Consider the following 22,655-nt stretch of genomic DNA (forward strand, 5'->3'; position numbering starts at 1 on the left):
TAGCAGTTTACTTTGCTTTTTAAAAATTATATTTCATTAGCTACAACATGCATCTTATAATTAATTTACCTTTTTTTCTTAATTTAAAGCACTAATTTTCAAAAGAATAACCCAGTGCACACATTAACTGAAGTGGAGCTTCTGGCATTTACATCAGTGAGTAATGTCTTTTTCTCTTCCATTTCATTTTTTTCCTGGTAAATTACTTCCTCTGGTATGGTCTTGCCTTGGATTGTTTATGTTGAAACACTGCCACCTAAGGAAATAAGGTGGAGAAAAATCTTACCACTGTAGTTTCTAAGTCACATGTATCTTGCTGCTGATTTAAGAGTCTGCAACTCTTAAATTGAGTGCTATGCCTACATGGTCATGGTGAAAAAGAAAGCTAGGAGCAGGACCAGGAGACCATGGGTTAAAAAGATGTCAAGAGCATGGTGTGCTCATCAGTGTTCAACAGTCTAGAGCAGTCCGGAGATAAATGTGGACAGAGAAGAGACCACTGGATTGGACAATTAGGAGTGCATTGGTTACTTCTAGGACAGTTTCAGTGGACTCTCTGGACAGTTCCCTCATTACAGAGAATTCAGAGGGAATATGGTGTAAGGAAATAAAGTTAATAGATAAAGATCACAGTTGGAGAAGAATAGCAGTGAAAAGGAAAGCTGGAGTAATAGATATTTGAGGATTTTAGATCAAGAAGGGCTTTTAAGAAGAGAAAAGTCACAGACGAAGGGGTCAGTCAGTATATTTTGGCTTTATGGAGAAAGGAAGATACATATGTTCTTTAATGAATACAAGTTGCTTAAGATATATCATTTTTTCAAAGGCATTTTCATTATCTTAGTTGGGAATCCATTTAGAATTCTGTTGTTTTCTTCCTTTGTTATTTTTCAGATAAGGCAAAATAAAATACTTTTACTGGCTAGAAAGAAAAGCTAGATTGTGGTTGGGCGAGGTGGCTCATGCCTGTAATCCCAGCACTTTGAGAGGCCGAGGCAGGTGGATCACTTGAGATCAGGGGTTCGGACCAGCCTGGCCGACATGATGAAACCCTGTCTCTACCAAAAATACAAAAATTACCTGGGCTTGGTGGTACATGTCTGTAACCCCAGCTACTCTAGAAGCTGAGAAGGAGAACCACCTCAACCCGGAAGGCGGAGGTTGCAGTGAGCCACACTGCACTTCAGCCTGGGTGACAGAGAGCAAGACTCCGCCTCAAACACAAAACAAAACAAAACACAACAAAACAAAAAAAGCTAGCTTATTTTGTACTGTAATATAAATTTTTCACGTTACTATTTCCTACATACCCTGTTTGAACTGGTTAGGTGTTAAGTCGTTTGAGTCCTCTGGTTGTGTGTTTTATTTTCCCACTTCAGTATTCTCAGAAATCTTTGGTGTGTATCATCATATTATGTGTGTTTTAGGTAACTGTGGAAATGTTCCTCATTATTTATTATATGTGCTATAAAGGAATTGACGAAGTGTTAACAAATTTTAAAGGGCATATAAAAAACATATTATGTACTTTTCATTTATTCATTCAGCTAATATATATCTACTAAATAATATATACGGGTATTGTACTAGTCATTGGGGATTTAGCAGTAAATAAAGCCTTTTTTGTTCTGGAGTTTATGTCAAATACAGAGTAGACAAAGAGAGAACCAGCTATTTCACAGAAGTGCTGAGGAGAAATATAAAGCAGGTTAAGAGACTAAGAATGGGATGGGCGCAGCTGTTTTAGACAAGGTGGTCAGGGAAGGTCTCAGTGGGAGGGTGACACTGAACATAGATCTGTGTGAAATGAGGGATGGGGGAAGGCTAGGGAAGGTCTGGAATGGCTGTGAGCTTGAGTCAGGGTAGGGACTGGATGGGGACAAGTGTCTAGGTGATGAATGGTGACCTGGATGCTTGGCTTTCTCTGATGATGGAAGTAAACAGCGATGTGGCATATGACAGGAAATGTTTCTGCTGGCCAGTAGTAACAGTTTCTTGGGATTGGTCCATAAGCAGTTTATTGCAGCATATATATTACCACAGTTATCCTGAAGACACTAGCACACTCTTTTTACATTCAAACAGTTAATTTTTTAGCATTTCTTGTGTGTGTGGCGGGGGTTCCCTTTCTTTAAAACTTTTCCTTTCTTTAACCTATTCTCCTTCCCTTGCACTGTGAGGTACCTGTGAAGTAATTAGTAACTTCTGATGGTGGGTAACTCATCATTCCTAGCTTGCAGTGAAGGTCATAAATTCAGGTTTTGTGCTTCTCCGCTCAGGCCTTTATGCTGTGTGATTTTTCTGCTTTCCTCCCACCCTCTTACAATCAGAACCATCCTGAAGACCGACCTCTTTTTGGAGGAAAGCTGTTTGATTACAATGACTCACAGTGCTTGGCCTAACTCTTCTAAAGAGATGAGTTAATCCCGAGTAAATCTTTAATTGGAGAAGTAGGGCAAGAAACTTCTATGTGAGGAGGACTTTTAAGAGCCCCACACATACTTTGGGCTTTGCACTGTCTCCCCGACATTTTTTTAATCTCAAATGAAACATACAAAATAAACCAGAAAAACTTGTCAGCCCTTGTCAGCTCTTCATCTATCAGTTCTTCCTCCTGTCCCTTCTTTGTGCATGATACCGAAGTGGATAAGATGATGAATTAAAAGTGGTCCCTGGTTTCAATGAAGAAAGAAACTTTATTTAAATCCTATGTAACTCCAAAAGAGTACAAACAGCCCCCAACTTATGAAAGTTTGGCGATTTTTTGAATTTGCAATGGTGTGCAAATGATATTCAAGTAGAAACCATACTTTGAATACCTATACGACCATTCTGTTTTTCACTTTCTGTACAGTATTCAGTAAATTATATGAGATATTCAGCTTTTTTTTTTTTTTTTATAAAATAGGCTCAGTGTTAGATGATGTTTCCCAACTGTAGGCTAACGTATTTAAGGCAGGCTAAGTTAAGCTATGATGTTTGGTAGGACAGGTGTTATTAAATGCATTTTGACTTAGGACATTTACAACTCATGATGGATTTATCAGGATGTAACTCCATCATATGTTGAGGAGCATTTGTATCTGAGACAAGAGGGACTACTTCTAGGTGCTACCCCACTTCTTCTGAGCTCTTGAACTTTTATTTGTGCCTCTCTTTTTGCAAGGTTCATATTTTGGCTTATATTATAATTATTTATATATATGTATATATATGTGTGTGTGTGTGTGTGTGTGTGTGTGTGTGTGTGTGTGTGTGTGTATGTCTTTTCCTTACAAGACTATAAACTCAGTTTTAGAGACTGGGCTCTGTTCTTTTCTAGGCTCTCTACAAGGGTTGTGACAGTGCTTCAATGCTTTACTCATAGTTGTTGTGAATAAATGCATGCAGAATAAGAAAATGAATGAAATATATATCCTACACCCTGGAATAGGGTTGATGTCTATTCAAGAGCTGTGTCACTTACTTGGTTCCATAATTTAGGTAGTACTGCATGATACTAGGAATAACCATCTGTTTCATCTTTCTCTTCCGTAAAATGGGGGAAAGAGAAAATGCCCCTATCCCAACACAGAAGACTTTACTTGAGGATCATATTGCAGAACATCTATGAAAGTACTCCAGAGTAGGTGGAGGCTGGTACACTCATAGCATTCAGTGATGCTAGTTTGTAGTAAAGCATTCTTATTTTCAAGCAGGCTAAATGGATAAGATCTGCTTGGAATTGGCCATAGATGTGGAAGAGAAGGGAACAGAGAGGAAAGAAACAGCATGGGTTTTTCTTGCTGCGCATCCATTTCCCTGCTCTAGCAGCAGCTTGGTGGCCTGGGACTAGGGTTGTGAACTATTGAGGCTACAAGATGTCTTCCTCTGTTGATAGAAGAGCAAATATAATAGAAGTCTTTTTTTTTTTTTTTTTGAAATGGAGTTTTGCTCTTGTCGCCCAGGCTGGAATGCAATGGCGCGATCTCAACTCATTGCAGCCTCCACCTCCTGGGTTCAAGCGATTCTCCTGCCTCAGCTTCCCGAGTAGCTGGGACTACAGGCATGGGCCACCACACCCGGATAATTTTTATTGTTGTTTTTTTTTTTTTTTTTTTTTTTGAGACAGAGTCTTGCTGTGTCACCCCAGACTGAAGTGCAGTGGCGCGATCTCGGCTCACTGCAAGCTCCGCCTCCCGGGTTCATGCCATTCTCCTGCCTCAGCCTCCTGAGTAGCTGGGACTACAGGTGCCCACCACCACACCTGGCTAATTTTTTTGTGTTTTTCAGTAAAGATGGGGTTTCACTGTGTTAGCTAGGATGGTCTCGATCTCCTGACCTCGTGATCTACCTGCCTCGGCCTCCCAAAGTGCTGGGATTACAGGCATGAGCCACTGCACCAGGCCAATTTTTGTATTTTTAGTAGAGATGGGGTTTCACTATGTTGGCCAGGCTAGTCTCGAACTCCTGACCTCAGGTGATGCACCCACCCAGCCTCCCAAAGTGCTGGATTTACAGGGGTGAGCCACCGCGCCCGGCCAATAGAAGTCTTAATACTCCTACCAGAAGTCTGTAAGCACTTGGAGAGACAGGGACAGTGGTTATTTGGTGTTTGGTAAATATTTATTGAATAAATAAATGAATGGCTCTTGGTCCTGAATTTTGTTCCGTTTTGATTAACTGTCCCAAAGTTTACTAGAATGATGGTGAAATCTCTTTTTTGGAGAAATTTTTGCCAGTGTTTTCATTTTGGTGCAGCAGGTTGAAATATATATGAAATATGCTGGGAAAATGTTTTAATTTAGCAAAGTCAGAAACTTGTCCTAAGAGGAATAGCTTTACTTGTTTAAGGTTGCTGTTATGTGATGCTATTTCTGAGATATTATATCTGCATGTTGCAGGAAAGCTGAGTCAGAGTAAAAATAACCCATATTGTTTTAGAGAGCCATTTATGTTGTATCAGCTTGATAACTTAAAATTAGCTGTGTTATCTACATTATTTCCCTTCAGATGAGCCACGTCATGACATTTAGTAATGTTTTTAATTTCCTTTTATTGTTGAAAATGGGAACAGTTTAGTTAATTCATACAGGTTTTTCAGTTTTCCTTGGCAAAAGTTTGTTTAGGCTGGGTGGGGTAGCTCATGCCTGTAATCCCAGCACTTTGGGAGGCCAAGGTGGGCAGATCACAAGGTCAGTAGTTTGTGACCCGCCTGGCCAACATGGTGAAACCCTGTCTCTGCTAAAAAAAAATACAAAAATTAGCTGGGCGTGGTGGTGCTCGCCTATAATCCCAGCTACTCAGGAGGCTGATGCAGGATAATTGCTTGAACCCGGGAGGCGGAAGTTGCAGTGAGTTGAGGTCACGCCACTGCACCCCAGGCTGCACGACAGAGTGAGACTCTGACTCGGGGGGAAAAAAGTTTGTTTGGTTTTTTGTTCTTGCGATAGTTTACTGAGAATGATGATTTCCAATTTCATCCATGTCCCTACAAAGGACATGAACTCATCATTTTTTATGGCTGCATAGTATGCCATGGTGTATATGTGCCACATTTTCTTAATCCAGTCTATCATTGTTGGACATTTGGGTTGGTTCCAAGTCTTTGCTATTGTGAATAATGCCGCAATAAACATACGTGTGCATGTGTCTAAAACTTAAAGTATAATAATAATAAATTTAAAAAAACAAGTTTCAAAAAAAAAAAAGTTTGTTTAAGTGAGTGTGAATTGATACTGGCAGCTTGCCTTTTGACTCTGCCTGAAGCCCCTAGGTCTCTGTAAATGAAAGAAGGAAAAAGATCTTTGGAAGTTACACATTATATTTTATGTATTTTCTTTTTCTGCTATTGACTTTAAAGCTATTTAATAAATACTTATCTATGATCATAACATAGTTTGCTAATCCGTTTTATAGATGAAAATGATTACCCATTTTTCTTCTAGGGAATTACTCATTTCTTAATTGTAATTTATTAAGATAGGCAATATAACTATTAGTGCTTGTACTTTTGATAGTTTTATTACTAGAGTTGATTACTTCAGAATTACCTCACAGTATAGAGGAACAAGCACAGTGAGACTTAAGCAAAATAAAACGAACAAAACTGTACTTACACATGTCATAGTCAGCCTGGTGAAAAGAAAACATAAACAGAATGTCTTGACAGCAACCAAAAAAAAAAAAAAGACATTAAATAAGAGGAAACAACAACTGCAAATACCTTCACCTTCTCGTTGAAACTAATTGCTCTGCTTTGCCTTTTCCTTTTTTTTTTTTTTTTTTTTTTAATTTTATTATTAGATGGAGTCTTGCTCTGTCCCCCAGGGTGGAGTGCAATGGCGCAATCTTGGCTCGCTGCAACCCCTGCCTCCCGGTTCAAGTGATTCTCCTGCCTCAGCCTCCTGAGTAGCTGGGATTACAGGCACGCACCACCATGCCCAGCTAATTTTTGTGTTTTTAGTACAGATGGGGTTTCACCATGTTGGCCAGGCTGTTCTTGAACTCCTGACCTCAGGTGATCTGCACTTCTTGGCCTCCCGAAGTGCTGGGATTGCAGGCATGAGCCACTGCGCCCAGCCTGCCTGTTCGTTAAGTTATCTTGCAAATTAGAAATGACCTGGGGACTGACCGCTTTTTTTTTGTCTTCTACAGTTAACCATGTCTTGAGGTTAATGCTTATTAGAATTTCCCTTCTGGCCCACTGTTACTGGACTTTAATTTCCATTGTCAACAACTATAAAATTGGATAAAATATATGAAACAGTAATGTATAAAAAGGATAATATATCATGACCAAATAGTGTTTATCCCAGGAATACAAAATTGGTTTAATATGAAACAATGCAGTTCACCTTATTAATAGAGCAAAGGAGAAAAACCAAATGATTATCTTAATAGAAACAAAAAAGCCTTTGACAAAATTCAACACCTTTCATTATAAAAACTCTTAGTAAACTAGGAATAGAAGAGAATATCAACCTGATTAAGTGCATCTAGCTAAAATCATTATTGGTGAAAAGTAGTCTTTCCCCCTTAAGCTCAGAAAAAAGGGAAGATTGTCTGCTTTCTTCACTTGTCTTCTAGTTGAACTAGAATCCTAGTAGTGCAATAGATAAGAAGAAGATATGAAGAAATAAAAGGTATATAGATTGGAAATTAGGATATAAACTACCTTTATGCAGAGGTGACATGTTTATGTCATAGAAAAACTCTTAAGAATGAACATGAAAGCTACTAGAACTAACAAGCAAGTTCTTAGAATACAAGGTCAATATAAAAAAGTCAATTATATTTGCTAGCAATACTTGGGAAAAGAATTTTAAAATCATTTGCAATAGCCTTAAATAAATCAAATATTTACAAATAATTACAACTAAAATGCAAGACCTCTATGCTGAAAATGACGAAGACTGTTGAGAGAAATTAAAGATTATCTAAATAAATGGATTTACCATATCTGTGGATCGGAAGGCTCAGTATGTTGAATTCACAATTCTTGTAAAATTGAGCTTCAAATTAAATCCGTAGCAATCAGAATCCCCATAGGCATTTTTTTTTTATTTGCAGAAATTGACATGCTGATTCTAAAATCATTTGGAGGACTTCTGCTTCTGTAGTGGTTTCTTTTTTTCTGAGACGTAGTCTTACTCTGTTACCCAGGCTGGAGCGCAAAGGCACGATCTTAGCTTACGTCTGTCTCCTGGGCTCAAGCATTTGTCCTGCCTCAGCCTTCTGAGTAGCTGGGACTACAGGCGTGAACCACCACGCCTAGCTGATTTTTTTGTGTTTGGGTAGAGACAGAGTTTTACCATATTGCTCAGGGTGGTCTCGAACTCCCAGGCTCAAGTGATCCGCCCGCCTCAGCCTCCCAAAGTGCTGGAGTTACAGGCATGAGCCACCACGCCCGGCTGCTTCTGTAGTGGTTCTGATTGGAACTACCCTTCTGCAGAAAAAAATTATCAACTGTGGGCAAGGTGCGAAAACAAAAAATCCAACTACCTGGTGATACTGGGGAATGATCAAAGGCAGAAAGATTCTGGAGATGACTTTTTTGCTTGGAAGAAGGGAATACATTGGGTGATTTTATTTTTAGGTTTCTTTTGTGTGTGTGTGAGATGGAGTCTCACTCTGTCACCCAGGCTGGAGTGCAATGGCACAATCTTGGCTCACTGCAACCTCTACCTCCTGGGTTCAAGCAATTCCTGTGCCTCAGCCTCCCGAGTACCTGGGATTACAGGCATGCACCACTACACCCAGCTAGTTTTCGTATTTTTAGTAGAGATGGGGTTTCACTGTGTTGGCCAGGCTAGTTTCGAACTCCTGACCTCAGGTGATCCGCCTACCTCAGCCTCCCAAAGTCTGAGATTACAGGCATGAGCCACTGCACCTGGCCATTTCTTGGTATTTTCTAACATATTTAGAAGGCATTCAAGGGTGAACAAGTGATCCTATGTGGTTGCAAAGTTTCTACATTTTATGTGAAGGATTACTCTATTAATTTTCCACTATTGTAGGTTGTGAAAAATTAAAGATATTATTATTCTAGAGCAACCACTTAAAAATGCAAAGGCATCTGGCTAAAAATCCAGTAAGAAGTCAAGGTGGCAACCTAAAATATATTCAGATTATCTAAAAAGAAGGCAGGAAAAGCAGCATAATGGAACAACAACAAAAAAGGGTAAAATGGTATATTTAAACCAAGCCTTATGAATAATTATATTGAATGCTAATGGATAAATACTCCAAATAAAAGTCAAAGATTGATAATGGAATTAAAAAGCGAGAGACAACTATATGCTTCCTAGAAGAGATGTACTTTGAATGTAAAGACTCAGATGGGTTGATAATAAATGAATGGAAAATATTATCCCATGAAAACAGTAAGTATAACAAGGCTAGATTTGCTAAATTATTATAAAGTAAAATGGGCTTCATTACAAAGAATATTTCCAGAGACAGAGAGGACAACTTTATAATAATAAAGGGAATATTTATCAGGAAGACATAGTAATTATAAATGTGTATGTATCTAATAATGGCTCCACAGTACATGAAACAAAAATGGATAGAACTAAATTGAAAAACAGACAATGTCACAATCATAGTTGAATATTTTAACACCCCTCTGTCAGCAATTGTTAGAACAACTTGGCAAACAGCAAGTAAATACATAGATAAATGGCAACATCAGCCATTTTGACTGAATTGATGTTTATGGAATACACTTGGAATACATGGTGTTTTCAAATGCTTATGGTAAGTGCAGCAAGACCATATACTGGGACATAAAACAAATCTGCATAAATGAAGAATAAATGAATAAATTAAGAAATTGATTACATATAGTACATAGTTTTTTCCATAGATTACATATAGTACTTAGCTTTTTCTGTAATTGAATTAAATGACATAAATAACTACTGCGTATGTAGAAAAACTCCAGATGTTTGTAAACCAAACAATTAAACTGCATATTTTATCCATGGACCACAGAACAAAACAGAGAAGAAATTTATATGTGAAGGTCATTCATGAAGTTAAATCATTGATCTCAATGTTACAAAATTTTCCTCCTATGTTTTCTTCAAGTAAAATTGTTATAACATTGGGTAGTGAAGAAATTTTAGCTAGGACACTAAGCGCATGAACCATAAAAGAAAAAGAGTGATAAATTGGACTTTATTAACATTAAAACCTTCTGCTTTTTGAAGACAACATTAAGAAAATGAAAACACCAGCCATAGACTAGGAGAAAATATTTACACGGCATGTATCTCACAAAAGACTTTTACTTAGCATAAAGACCCCTTTCAACTCAATAGTAGAAACCAACCAATTAAATATGGATAAAATATTTGAACAGACACTTGAACAAAGATATATGCATGGCCAAAAGGAGCTTGAAAGATGTGTAATAACATTAGTCATCAGAGAAATGCAAATTAAAACCACAACAAGATACCACTGTACATTACTGAAAAGACTTACATAACACTTTGTGGGGTAGTTAGAACTCTCATACAATGCTGGTGGTAATGCAAAATGTCACAACTGCTTTGGAACACAGGTTGGCATTTTCTTATAAAATTAATCATCAATTGCTTCTCCAGGTATTTAGCCATGAGAAATGAAAGTATATGTCCTCACAAAGAGTTGTACACAAATACTTGTGGCTGTTTTATGCATAATAGCTTAAAACTGGAAACAACCCAAATGTCCATCAAAACAAATGAGTGATAAACTGCCATGTATCCCTCTCATGAAATAATACTCAACAATAAAAAGTTATGAAACACTGATAAATGCAACAGCATGGATGAATCTCAGACACATTATTGTGAGTTAAAGAAGCCAGGCTGTATGATTCCATTTAATGGAAATTCTAGAACAGCAAAACTACATTGTAATGACAGAAAGTAGATCACAGATTGATTACAAAATGTTGCAAGGGAATATTTTAGGATGATGAACAATTTCTATAATTTGATTTAATAGTGGTTATATAGGTGTATGCATTTGTCAAAACAGGTCACAATACTGAATATGGGTTTTATTCATCTGTCATATACTTCACTAAAGGGAAGAATTCACATGACCAGATTTATTTAGAGCTATACTATTTTAAGATTATCAATATAGACTTGGGTTTCAATATTGATTATTCTATGCCACCAGTTTCAGAAGTACAACACAAACTATTCAATTTACCTAATTATTAAGTGGAAAAAATGTAGAACAAATTCCCAATAGGAAATTGCTTAGTGTTCACATTCGTTATGAAGTTTACTGCTTTTCTGAAGCAAAATCAAGCTAGTTTTCCCCATATATTTTTGGAAACCTGCATGTAAAAGAAATCCCAAAGTTAATGGGGGGAATATACTGTTTAGAGCTCAAGTTGGGGGTACTTTTGACCCTTTGCATTTAACACAGATTATTGATATTGAAAAAATATTTGTTGAATTGAAATTTTTCCCCTTTTGTGATTGAGAGTCAACAGAAATAACAAATAGAAAGATAGCTAGGATGAATGTAAAATCTTAACATTTCTTAGCACATGAGACTTGTATATAGAATAGCATAGGTAATTGAAATAAAGTGAAGTATTAATATATGATTTCTAGCAACTTGTGTTAATCAATATAAAAATAGGTAATTAGTAGAATTTATTTTAAGTCTGTAAATACTATTTTAAGTAGAATCTATATCTGGTATGGAAGGTAAACTATTGGTCATGTGGCAAAATATTAACATTTGGGGAACTGGGTGAAGGATATACAGTAAGCCCTTGCTTAAGGTCATCATGAGTAGGTTTTTGGAAACTGACTTGAATCAAGACAGTGTACAACAGGTCCTCAAGTAACATTGCTTGCTTTAACAATGATGAAGAAAAAAACATGGTTTTGTTATAGAACATTTTGCTTAAAATCTCCTGAATGCAGAGGTTTTTCTTTTTTGAAGAAGCCAAGTGACCAACAGATTGATCACTGGTGTCTTTGCTGCCTATATGAAAATTTGCATAGCAGAGAAAGTTTTAAAAGCTTAATGGCAGAAGATCCAGAGTCTCAAAATTTGCCAAGCATGCTACTAGATGTTGTGGAAAAAATAAAGGCATAAAGCATGGGACTTGCCTTCATGGAATTTTTAATTTAGCCCAGGTCAGAGAAATTTATGAAACTGTACTTAGCAATACTAGGCCCTTTAAACTACAAATGGATAGCACAGATAAAGATATCCTCTAGTTGCTAAGAAAGGAAGACAATATTTAGGACTGAGCAGTCAAAGAAGGCTTTGTTCACTAAGGGAGGACTTGAGTTGGAACTTGAACAACAGATAGGGTTTAGATGGAGTGATATAGCATAAGCAAAGGCAAGGAGACGGGAGAATGTAAGTTGTATTTGGGTCCTTTTGTTGAGGGTAATAGTGAGACTTAGGGAAAAGTAGATTTGAAAAAGTTTTTAAATGACCTACCTAGCAAGGATAGGGGATTTGGACTGCTCTTCCACTTCTACTGGGAATTATTTATAGATTAAACTTGGAATTTTAAACTTACTGTCATTTGGTACTGATTTCAAAAATGAATGCTCTTTTAAGTAGATAATTAAAAAGCGGGGATAGTTCTGCTTTTTGTAGTATTTCTTTGTTCCTTGCTTTGGAAGATCAGTGTGACCTGGGTGGGCATCGTTCGATTTGGCTTTAGTGTAGCCAAACAATCACGCACAGGAGAGCTCTGAGCTGGCTTTGATTTATGTATGGAAAAAGCAGCTATCTGAAAGCGCCTTCAGTGTTTAAAGGAGTAGCCTGGTTGTGTGTCATTTAAAGGGATCCTAGTGACCTTTGGAAGAAGATTATTTGAAACGTGCAGTGACAAGAATGAGAAGGAAATTTGTTTTTAATAGAAATGACACTCTAGATCCTCTTTGATGATGGTACAGAATTTTCTTTGCTACTTTTCTGGGGCATGAGGGAAATGCCCATACAGTGGGAAATTGCTAGCTGAATAAAATAGTAAGTCCTTCTTAGGTACATATATAGCTTGTCATCATATGAATATTTACTTTTTTTTTTTTTTTTGAGACAGTCTTTCTCTGCCCAGGCTGGAGTGCAATGGCGCAATCTCGGCTCACTGCAACCTCCACCTCCCAGGTTCAAGTGATTCTCCTGCCTCAGTCTTCCAAGTAGCTGGGATTACAGGCACACGCCACTGCACCCAGCTAATTTTTGTATTTTTAGTAGAGACGGGGTTTCATCATGTTGCCCAGGCTGGTCTTGAACTCCTGACCTCAGGTGATCAGTCCACCTCAGCCTCCCAAAGTGGGGGGATTACAGGCATGAGCCACCGCGCCTGGCCTGCATCTCTTAATCTTTGATGAATACTTCTCTTTTGTTCTCAAAATATCCTCTTATACACCTTATCAACAATTGCTGAAGAGAATTGATTCTTTAATTTATAAAATATTATAACTATAAATAAATATTACTAGAGTTTATTTCACATTCACAACAGTCATAAAAATATTAAAAGTACATGAAAGATTACATACTTGTAAAAGTTTACTGGCTCAATGAGTCACCTTTTATAGATTTTGGTCAATGAGAGGTAAGAAATGAGAGAACTTTTCTTAAGACAGGCACACAAATGTTATTTGTAAGTGGTTTCTGGCCTTTGTTTTGATGTGTAAAAGTGGAAATTCCATCTCATGGATAAGTACATGGTTGCAAATGGCATGAGGTTTTTCAGCAGTGTGCTAATTCTGAATGTGGGGATATTCTTTTTTAATTTTTTAGGTTTTTTTTTTTTTTTTTTTTTTTTTTGTAGAGACAGGTCTCCCCATATTGCTCAGGCTGGTCTTGAACTCCTGGGCTCAAGTGTTCTGCCCATCTCGGCCTCCCAAAGTGCTGGGATTATAGGCGTGAGCCACCACACCCAGCCATGAAAGCGGGGATTTTTGAATCCACCAACTTTCTGAGGGCTCTTTTTCAAACCCATTTTGATTTTTAACCAAATACTTATAACTTAGTGAGCTGATATTTCATCAAATTACCACAGTTAATAGAATCCATGGTTAAAAATAAGACAGCATTTACAACTATGTAATTCCACATGAAGTACCTGGAGTAGCCAAAATTCATAGAACCAAAAAGCAGAACGGGTTGCCGGGGGCTGGGGGAAGGGGGATTGGGAGTTGTTTAATGGGTATAGAGTTTCAGCTGCAAGATGAAAGTAGTTCTGGAGACTGGTTGTACAACAATGTGAATGTACTTAACATTACTGAACTGTGTGTTTAAAAATTGTTAAAATGGTATATTTTATGTTATATGTATTTTACCATAGTTTTTAAAAATTAAAAAGAGAAAAGCATTTGTAATAGTGTCAAGAAACATCAAATTCCTAGGAATAAACCTATCAAAAGATTTATGAGATCTCTATACTAAAAATCTGGTGGGGCACGGTGGTTTACACCTGTAATCCCAGCACTTTGGGAGGCCAAGGTGAGCAGATCACTTGAGGTCAGGAATTCAAGACCAGCCTGGCCAACATGGTAAAATCTTGTCTCTGCAAAAAATACAAAAAAAAGTTAGCCAGGCGTCGTGGTGAACGCCTGTAATCCCAGCTACTTGGGAGGCTGAGGCAGGAGAATCGTGTGAACCCAGGAAGCGGAGGTTGCAATGGGCTGAGATCGCACTACTGTACTCCAGCCTGGGTAACAGAGTGAGACTCTGTCTCAAAAAAAAAAAAAAATCTATAAAACATAATTAAGATAAATTAATGAAGATGTAAATAAACGGAGTGATACGTCTTGTTCGTGACTTCATGTTTTAAAATTTCAAGTCTTTCCAAATTAACCTACATAATTAATACAATCCTTAAGAAAGTCCCAGAACTTTAAATTTGTTGTTTTTATTGTTTCTGTTGTTTTTTCGTGAAGCTAAAACTGACTTTGAAATTCATATGGAAATGCAGAGGACTAAGGATATAGCTCAGGCAGTCTTGAAGAACAGAGCTGGAGGGGAGGACTTCTGTTGTCAGATAGCAAGACCTATTTTAAGACAGTGCTCATCAAATTGGGGTCCCTGGACCAGCAGCATCAGCGTCACCTGGGAGCTTGTTAGAAATGGAATTTCTCCGGCTCCACCCTAAACCCTGTTCAGTCAGAACCTTTGAGGTTGGAGCCAAGAACTCTGTGTTTTAACAAGCTCTTGAAGTTATTTTTATGCTCTTTAAAAACACAGAATTAAGACATTTTGACACAAGGAAATATAAATCAACCAGTAGTCTAGAAACAGATCCATACATATACAGTTCATGTGATTTATGGCAAAGGTGGAGTTGTAAAACAGTGAGAAAGGATAGACTTTTCAATAAATATTACTAGGTAATTTATATACCTCTAGGAAAAATGGGCATCTTACCCCTACATCATACTGTATATAAAACATAATTCCAGATAGATCAAATATATAAAAGTGAAAAGCAAAACTATAAAGCTCTTAGAGGATGAATGTAGGAGAACATCTTTGAGACCTTAGGACAGTCACACAGGACAGTAAAGCGCTAACAAAACAAAAAATGGTACGCTGGACCATAGTTAGCACTTCTTTTTATGAAAAGATACCATTACTGTTGTAAAGCACTTAGACTAGTGCCTGAACAGCACATAGAATGTGTTATATAAATGTTTATTAAATAAAACTAATAAATAAAATGAACAACAAAACAGCAAAAACAGCAAACTTGTATCGAGAACAAATAAAATTCTGGTTAGAACCACCGTTGTAGAGGCTTTTGCAGTTGAGTAGTTACTGCATTTTTCTCAGAACAAGAGGCTAACTCTCTAGTCGTCAGCCTTTTGGTAATCTCTGTTATTTAGGACCAGTTTTAGAGTGAACTGTTCAGAAATTTTCTTAGCATTTCTAAGAAATGAGTATGAATTATTGGAATAAAAATATGAATTATAAGAATTAACAACATGTAGTATTTTATATCTTCATAAAAATGTGTCCTTTGGGAGAAATAAATAATTGAAATTAAAGTGTTTACTATAATTAACTATACAGAAACATATCAGAGCCTTTTCATGTGCTAAAATAACCCAGCTTTTGGGAAAAAAATTCTGAAATTTGGGAGCGTGGTATATATGCATACTGGATGCTTCATGCAAAATATTATTAGTAGCCAGGCCTAGTGGCTCATGCCTGTAATCCCGGCACTTTGGGAGGCCAAGACAGGAGGATCACTTGAGGCCAGCAGTTTGAGACCAACCTGGGTAACATTGTAAGATCCATCTCTATTAAAAAAAATAAGAAATTATTAGTGACTTTAAAAAAGTAATGAAATATTACTTTGGGCATAATTATATTTCTGTCTTTATATGTTCTGTTTATGTTTTTAGCAACACAAAATTTGAATGTAAGATTCCTATTTCTTTTTTTTTTTTTTTTTCCACAAGGTTTTGCTCTGTTGCCCAAGCTGAAGTGCACTGGTATGAACACAGCTCACTGCAGCCTGGACCTCCCAGGCTCAAGCGATCTTCCTGCCTCAGCCTGTCACGTAGCTGGTACCAGAGGTGTGCACTGCCACACCAGGTTTTTTTTTTTATTTTTATTTTTTCTAGAGACAGGGTCTTGCTGTGTTGCTTAGGCTGATCTCAAACTCCTGGGCTCAAGCAATCCTCCTGTCTTGGCCTCCCAAAGTGCTGGGATTACAGGTGTGAGCCACTACGGCCAGCCTGCTCTGTCTTTTTAAGGATTTTGACAGTAGTGGTTTTGTAAAATACATATTTTTTTATATACATAACACAAAATGTACCATCTTAACCATTTTTAAGGGTACAGTTCAGTGGCATTAAGTACATTCACAGTGTTGTGCAACCATCAGTATTATCAATATGCAGAACTTTTTCAGCTTTCCAAACTCTGTATCCATTAAACAATAACTCCCTTTCTCCCCTCCCTTTAGCCCTTGCAACTACCATTCTACTTTCTAGCCCTATGAGTTTGACTACTCTAGGTACCTTGTTTAAGGGGAATCATAAAATATTTTTTCTTTTGTAGGCCAGGTGTGGTGACTTATGCCTGTAATCTCAACACTTTGGGAGGCCAAGGCGGGTGGATCACCTGAGGTCAGGAGTTCAAAACCAGCCTGGCCAACATGGTGAAATGCCATCTCTACTAAAAATATAAAAAATTAGGCCAGGCACGGTGGCTCACGCCTGTAATCTCAGTGCTTTGGGAGACCGAGGCGGGCAGATCACGAGGTCAGGAGTTCAAGACCAGCCTGGCCAATATGGTGAAACCCCATCTCTACTAAAAATACAAAAAGTAGCCATGCGTGGTGGTGCGTGCCTGCAGTCCCAGCTACTCGGGAGGCTGAGACAGAAGAATCACTTAAACCCTGGAGGCGGAGGTTGCAGTGAGCTGAGATCGCGCCACCACACTCCAGCCTGGGTGACAGAGCAAGGCTCTATCTCAAAAAAAAAAAAAAAAAAAAAAAAAAAAAAAGCTGGGTGTGGTGGCGGGTGCCTGTAGTCCCAGCTACTCTGTAGGCTGAGGCAGGACCATCGCTTGAACCCTTGAACCCAGGAGGTGGAGGTTGCAGTGAACCGAGATGGCGCCGTCGCACTCTAGCCTGGGCAACAAGAGTAAAACTCCATCTCAAAAAATAAAATAAAATAAAATAAAATATTATGAAAGTAAAAATAAATAAACAAATAAAAATACGAAAATTAGCCGGTCGTGGTGGCATGTACCTGTAATCCCAGCTACTTGGGAGACTGAGGCAGGAGCATTGCTTGAACCTGGGAGGTGGAGGTTGCAGTGAGCCAAGATTGCACCACTGGCACTCCAGCCTGGGTGACAGAGCGAGACTCTACCTCAAAAAAAAAAAAAAAATAATTGTTCTTTTGTGACTGACTTCACTCAGCATGGTGTCCTCAAAGTTCATCTGTGTTGTGTATATCAGAATGCTATTCCTTTTTAAAGCGGATTGATACTCTGTTGTTTCTATACCACATTTTTGTTTATTTTATTTTATTTTATTTTATTTATTTTTTATTTTTTGAGACAGAGTCTCACTCTGTCGCCCAGACTGGAGTGCAGTGGTGCAATCTCGGCTCACTGCAACCTCCACCTCCTGGGTTCAAGCACTTCTCCTACCTCAGCCTCCCGGGTAGCTGGGATTCCAGGTGCCCACCATCACGCCCAGCTAATTTTTTTGTGTGTTTTTAGTAGAGACTGGGTTTTACCATGTTGCCCAGGCTGGTTTCAAACTACTGACCTTAAGTGTTCCACCTGCCTCGGCCTCCGAAAGTACTAGGATTACAGGCATGAGCCACCACGCCCAGCCTATACCACATTTTATGATCCATTCCTTCACAAACATTTGAGTTGTTTTTGCCTTTTGGCTATGTGTATAATGCTGCCATGAATATTGGTATGCAAATATCTGACTTCAATTCTTTCAGGCATGACCCAGAAATGGAATTGCTAAATCATGTGGAATACTATATTTAATTTGGAGATAATTTTTTCTAATGCCTAGATTTACTTTTTTCATACAAAGATAGGATAAAGTATCTTCTACAGAATATAGAGCAGTCACTAAAAGTTTTACAGTTCCTGTTATTCCTTGATGTATTTTGTTTTCCACTCAGAGAATTAGTGAGTAGCCGATGGGCGTGGTGGCTCACACCTGTAATCCTAGCACTTTGGGAGGCCAAGGTGGGCTCATTGCTTGAGCCCAGGAGTTCGAGACCCGCCTGGGTGAAACCCTGTCTCTACAGAAAATTAAAATAATTAGCCAGGTGTGGTGGCAAGTGCCTGTAGCCCCAGTTACCCAGGAGGCTGAGGCAGGAGAATCACTTGAGCCTGGGAGGTGAGGGTTGCAGTAAGCCGAGACTGCACCACTGCACTCTAGCTTGGGCAATAGAGTGAGACCCTGTCTCAAAAAAAAAAAACAAACAAAAAGAAATAGTGGGTAGCTAGAATTCTATGGTAATAGCAAATTATATCAGCTTATATTTAGGTCCATGTATTCAGTTACTCATTGCCTCTTATTATCAAGGCTGAAACTCTGTGCTTATTTAACCTCTCAATATGTAAGACACCATTCCAAATCTGATGAGTCACAATTTGGGGTTTTCAACATCTTCTTTTATCTTTACCAATTTTTGGCATCTGAGCAGTTTAGCTGTTCTTAAGTACTTCTTTCTTACACTTTTACTGAACAGTAAAGAAATGTGTTTATAAGATATTTCAGTAAATGTGAAGTTTGTAATAATTGCATTTAGCTTAATGTTAAAATAGAAAATAACCAAAATTCAACAAAGATGAACTTATTTTCCCTTCATTACTGCAGAATTTTGGAGGTGGTTGGTCAACTTTTAGTCTACATTTTTCTCTTTATGGATAAGACATCTTTAGTCACACAGAGCTTAACCTGCTTATTCAGGGGCACATAGATAATGGCTGGGACGGTAGAGGAATTCAAGCTAGTTTAGGAAAGAAAGAATTTTTTTTTTTTTGGAGACAGTTTCACTCTGTCACTCAGGCTGGAGTGCAGTGGAATGATGTTGGCACACTGCAACCTCTCCCTCCTGGGTTCAAACGATTCTCATACCTCAGCCTCCTGAGTGGCTGGAATTGTAGGTGTGCACTAGCACGCCCAGTTAATTTTTGTTATTTTTAATAGAGATGGGGTTTCACTGTGTTGGCCAGGCTGGTCTTGAATTCCTGACCTCAAGTGATCTGCCTGCCTCAGCCCCAAAAGTGGCCACTGTGCCTGGCCAGTAATAATTAATCTTAATTTGTAGATTTTTACAAAGCATGGTAGCACATTATGTTGGTACCTTATTATATTATTACTTGCCATGAAGCAAATGGAATATTATGATTATTATTTTTGATACAGGGTCTCACTCTGTTCAGCCCAGACTGGAGTGCAGTAGTGTGATCATGGCTCACTGCAGCCTTGACCAGACTCAAGTGATCCTTCCACTTCAGCCTCCTGAGTAGTTGGAACTACCTGCACATGCCACCACACCCAGCAAATTTGATAAATTTTTTTGTAGAGACAGGGGCTTGCTATGCTGCCCAGACTGATTTCAAACTCCTGGTCTCAAGTGATTCTCCCACTTCAGCCTCCCGAAGTGCTGGGATTACAGTTAAGCCATCTCACCCAGCCATAAAGTTATTATTATTATTATTATTATTTTTTAGCATTTGGAACATGTTGTCTTTTTTTTTTTTTTTGAGATGGAGTCTCGCTCTGTCACGCAGCCTGGAGTGCAGTGGCGCGATCTCAGCTCACTGCAAGCTCCGCCTCCCGGGTTCACGCCATTCTCCTGCCTCAGCCTCCTGAGTAGCTGGGACTACAGGCGCCCCCCACCACGCCTGGCTAATTTTTTTGTATTTTTAGTAGAGATGGGGTTTCACCATGTTAGCCAGGATGGTCTCGATCTCCTGACCTCATGATCCGCCCGCCTCGGCCTCCCAAAGTGCTGGGATTACAGGCGTGAGCCACTGCGCCCGGCCAAGGAACGTGTTGTCTTAAAGAAAAAATATTTTAAGTAGTGTTTAAGTTTCTGAGCTGCATTACAAAAGCCTATATAAACCCCAGATTGCCTAGGTCACAGTAATAAAAGTATTATGTCAGGATAACTAGTTATTATTTACAATATTATGTCCTTGGGAGCATATGTTCCCAATTCTATCTAGAGAATGCCCCAAAAAAGAATCTATTAGGTGGATTTTCATGAGCACCAGTCACTGTTAGTTTTCATTTCTGTTTCCGAAGAACCACCTTTGTATGCCCTTGTCCCTTTGTAAAAGAAGACAGAAGAAAAGTCTCTTTCTTTGTCCCTCTTTTTATCCCTTTCTTGCAGTGCACCCAACAGTATGTAAGGCACTAGGAATCAAATAGCTGGGACTTCTGCCCTGGAGGAACCAAACTAGATGCAGTTATAAAGAATCACTGGATAGAGATGGAGTCACTTAGATGAGGTGGTTGAGAAGGCTCCCTCACAAAGTGGCATTAAGGCCAAGACCTAAATGAGACAGAGCCAGCCTTGTAGGCATTGGGGTGATCACTTCTCAAGTTCTAAATGGAATGGAATTAAGAGCAGTAACCCCCTACTGGGGGGCGTGGTGAAGACTCTGAATTAACTCTATCCAGGTGTTTATGTAGATTATGGCTTGAGCTCTCACCAGCTGGGGTTGGCCTGCTGCTTAGGTAGGTTAGATTGGTGTTCTCTCCATTGCATTTGGTTGCTGAAATTTTTTTAAAATGCCATTTTCTAATAAGTCAATAGAGCTTCATAAACCAACATATTTCCTGTTTAGTTTTCTTCTTACTTATCCAATGTCCCATATTATGGTCAATTCTTACCTCATCATGGGCAGCAGTGTTTTATAAAATATATTGAATATAGCCTATGTGCAATTGCTCCCTTTCAGAAAGACTTTCTCAAGTCTTTATATCTCCCAGCCAAATAGACATCATCACATTCTTCAGTGATGCTATTATCCAGTTAGTTCCTTCTTTAAAGCTTTTCAAATGTCTGTCAGATTGTATCTTATTTTCAGTATTTAGTGAGAATGTTTTGGTTGACCTTCAAATAAAAATCTTAGGCAAGCCTCTTGTTCTCATACCAGTGTAGAAAACAGTGTGTCTTTGTTATCTAAGGAAGATATTTCATCCCTTTGCTGTGCAAGCGTTTGGGACAACCTTTTTAAAGGTGAGTTTTAACTCTGACAAGCCCATGGGCTGAGCTGGTCTGTGCACTGCACCATTGTTGCTAGCAGAATGATCAGTGTGGTTGGAAGGTGAGCACCGTTGCCCATGCCCACTCCGGAGAGGGATTTTCTGTTAAGGGTGAGTGTAAACGCTGGAGGAGGAGAGCTCCTGGAGGGGCCAGATGTGCTTTTCAGTGGGAACTCTCATAGGCTCCATTAAGCTTTACTTATTCTTACTTACTTAATGCTCCCAACTCTGTGAGAGATGGGAATGCTCCTCCAATTTTAGAGAGGAGGAAAGTGAGACACCCAGGGAGGTCAAGTAACTTCCCCAGGTCACTTGGTGGGGCTGGGATGCCTCTCAATCTTTCACTCTGCAGACTTTTCCCACTGTTTTACAGAGCCTTTTCCTCAGTACTCTTCCATTTTGTTGTCATGGGATTATAGATGATAATCCCTTTAATAAGATGAAAAGAAAATGAAGGCAGTGATGTGACCCGTTATGGGTAGTGGAATCAGTTTTGCAGATTTACCTAATGAGAAAAGTCTTTTCCTTTGAAAAAAAAATTTTTTTTTTGACATAGTTTTGCGCTTGTTGCCTAGATCGAAGTGCAGTGGTGCAATCTCGGCTCACTGCAACCTCCACCTCCCAGGTTCAAGCGATTCTTCTGCCTCAGCCTCCTGAGTAGCTGGTATCACAGGCACTCGCCATCATGCCCGGCTAATTTTTTTGTATTTTTATTAAAGACTGGGTTTCATCACGTTGGCCAGGTTGGTCTCGAACTCCTGACCTTAGGTGATCCACCCGCGTCAGCCTCCCAAAGTGCTGGGATTACAGGCGTGAGCCATCACGCCCTGCCTGAAAAGTCTTGAGATCACATTTTATAATAAAATCTGACAAGTAGTGTTGTACATTTTAAAGAATTAGTTTTTTTAATGTCTTCTCTTTCATATTTTTATAGGTCCATATGCACCTATTATGTTGGTAAATTCATTCTTTTTGTAGATTTAAGTTAATGGAGGCCAACGAGATAAGGTTATGCATTAAATCTTGTAAACTATTTCAAGGGGATGAAAATATTTTAATTTGCAAAGTTAATTATAGAAGAATAAGATTAGAATATATATTTTATGGGGGCAGGGATCCTGTCTGTTTTGTTTGCTATTCTGTCCTTAGGGCCCAGTATACACTGCCATGTAGGGAGTAGGTGCTCAAGTGAGTTAATGAACAAATTTCACTAAGGTTCTGTTCTTTTGATTCTTCTCTCTTATTCATGTATTCTTGATGTACTCCTCTTCCTTCACCATCTCCAAGTCCTCTTTTTACATTACTCTACTTTCTAATGTTTCTTTGGTAGTATCATCCATGTCCAGGAAGTAGTCATATCTTAATTTAGCTATTTAAATGAGCACAAGTTTATTTAGAGAAAATGTTATAAAAT

General features: G+C 38.6%; 1 protein-coding gene across 5 annotated transcripts in view; it reads left to right on the forward strand.

Moving 5' to 3' along the window:
- The window catches only part of TTC27 (tetratricopeptide repeat domain 27), a 193,002-nt gene that overhangs the window by 50,717 nt on the left and 119,630 nt on the right, over nucleotides 1-22,655 (forward strand). For all 5 annotated transcript variants that reach the window (NM_017735.5, XM_011532958.3, XM_005264416.3 and 2 more), the window contains exon 9: nucleotides 90-156. In NM_017735.5, coding sequence (NP_060205.3) covers nucleotides 90-156 — 67 coding nt within the window. The remainder of the gene's footprint in view (nucleotides 1-89; nucleotides 157-22,655) is intronic.

Source organism: Homo sapiens, chromosome 2, assembly GCF_000001405.40.
Source record: "Homo sapiens chromosome 2, GRCh38.p14 Primary Assembly".
NCBI classification, from domain to species: domain Eukaryota; kingdom Metazoa; phylum Chordata; class Mammalia; order Primates; family Hominidae; genus Homo; species Homo sapiens.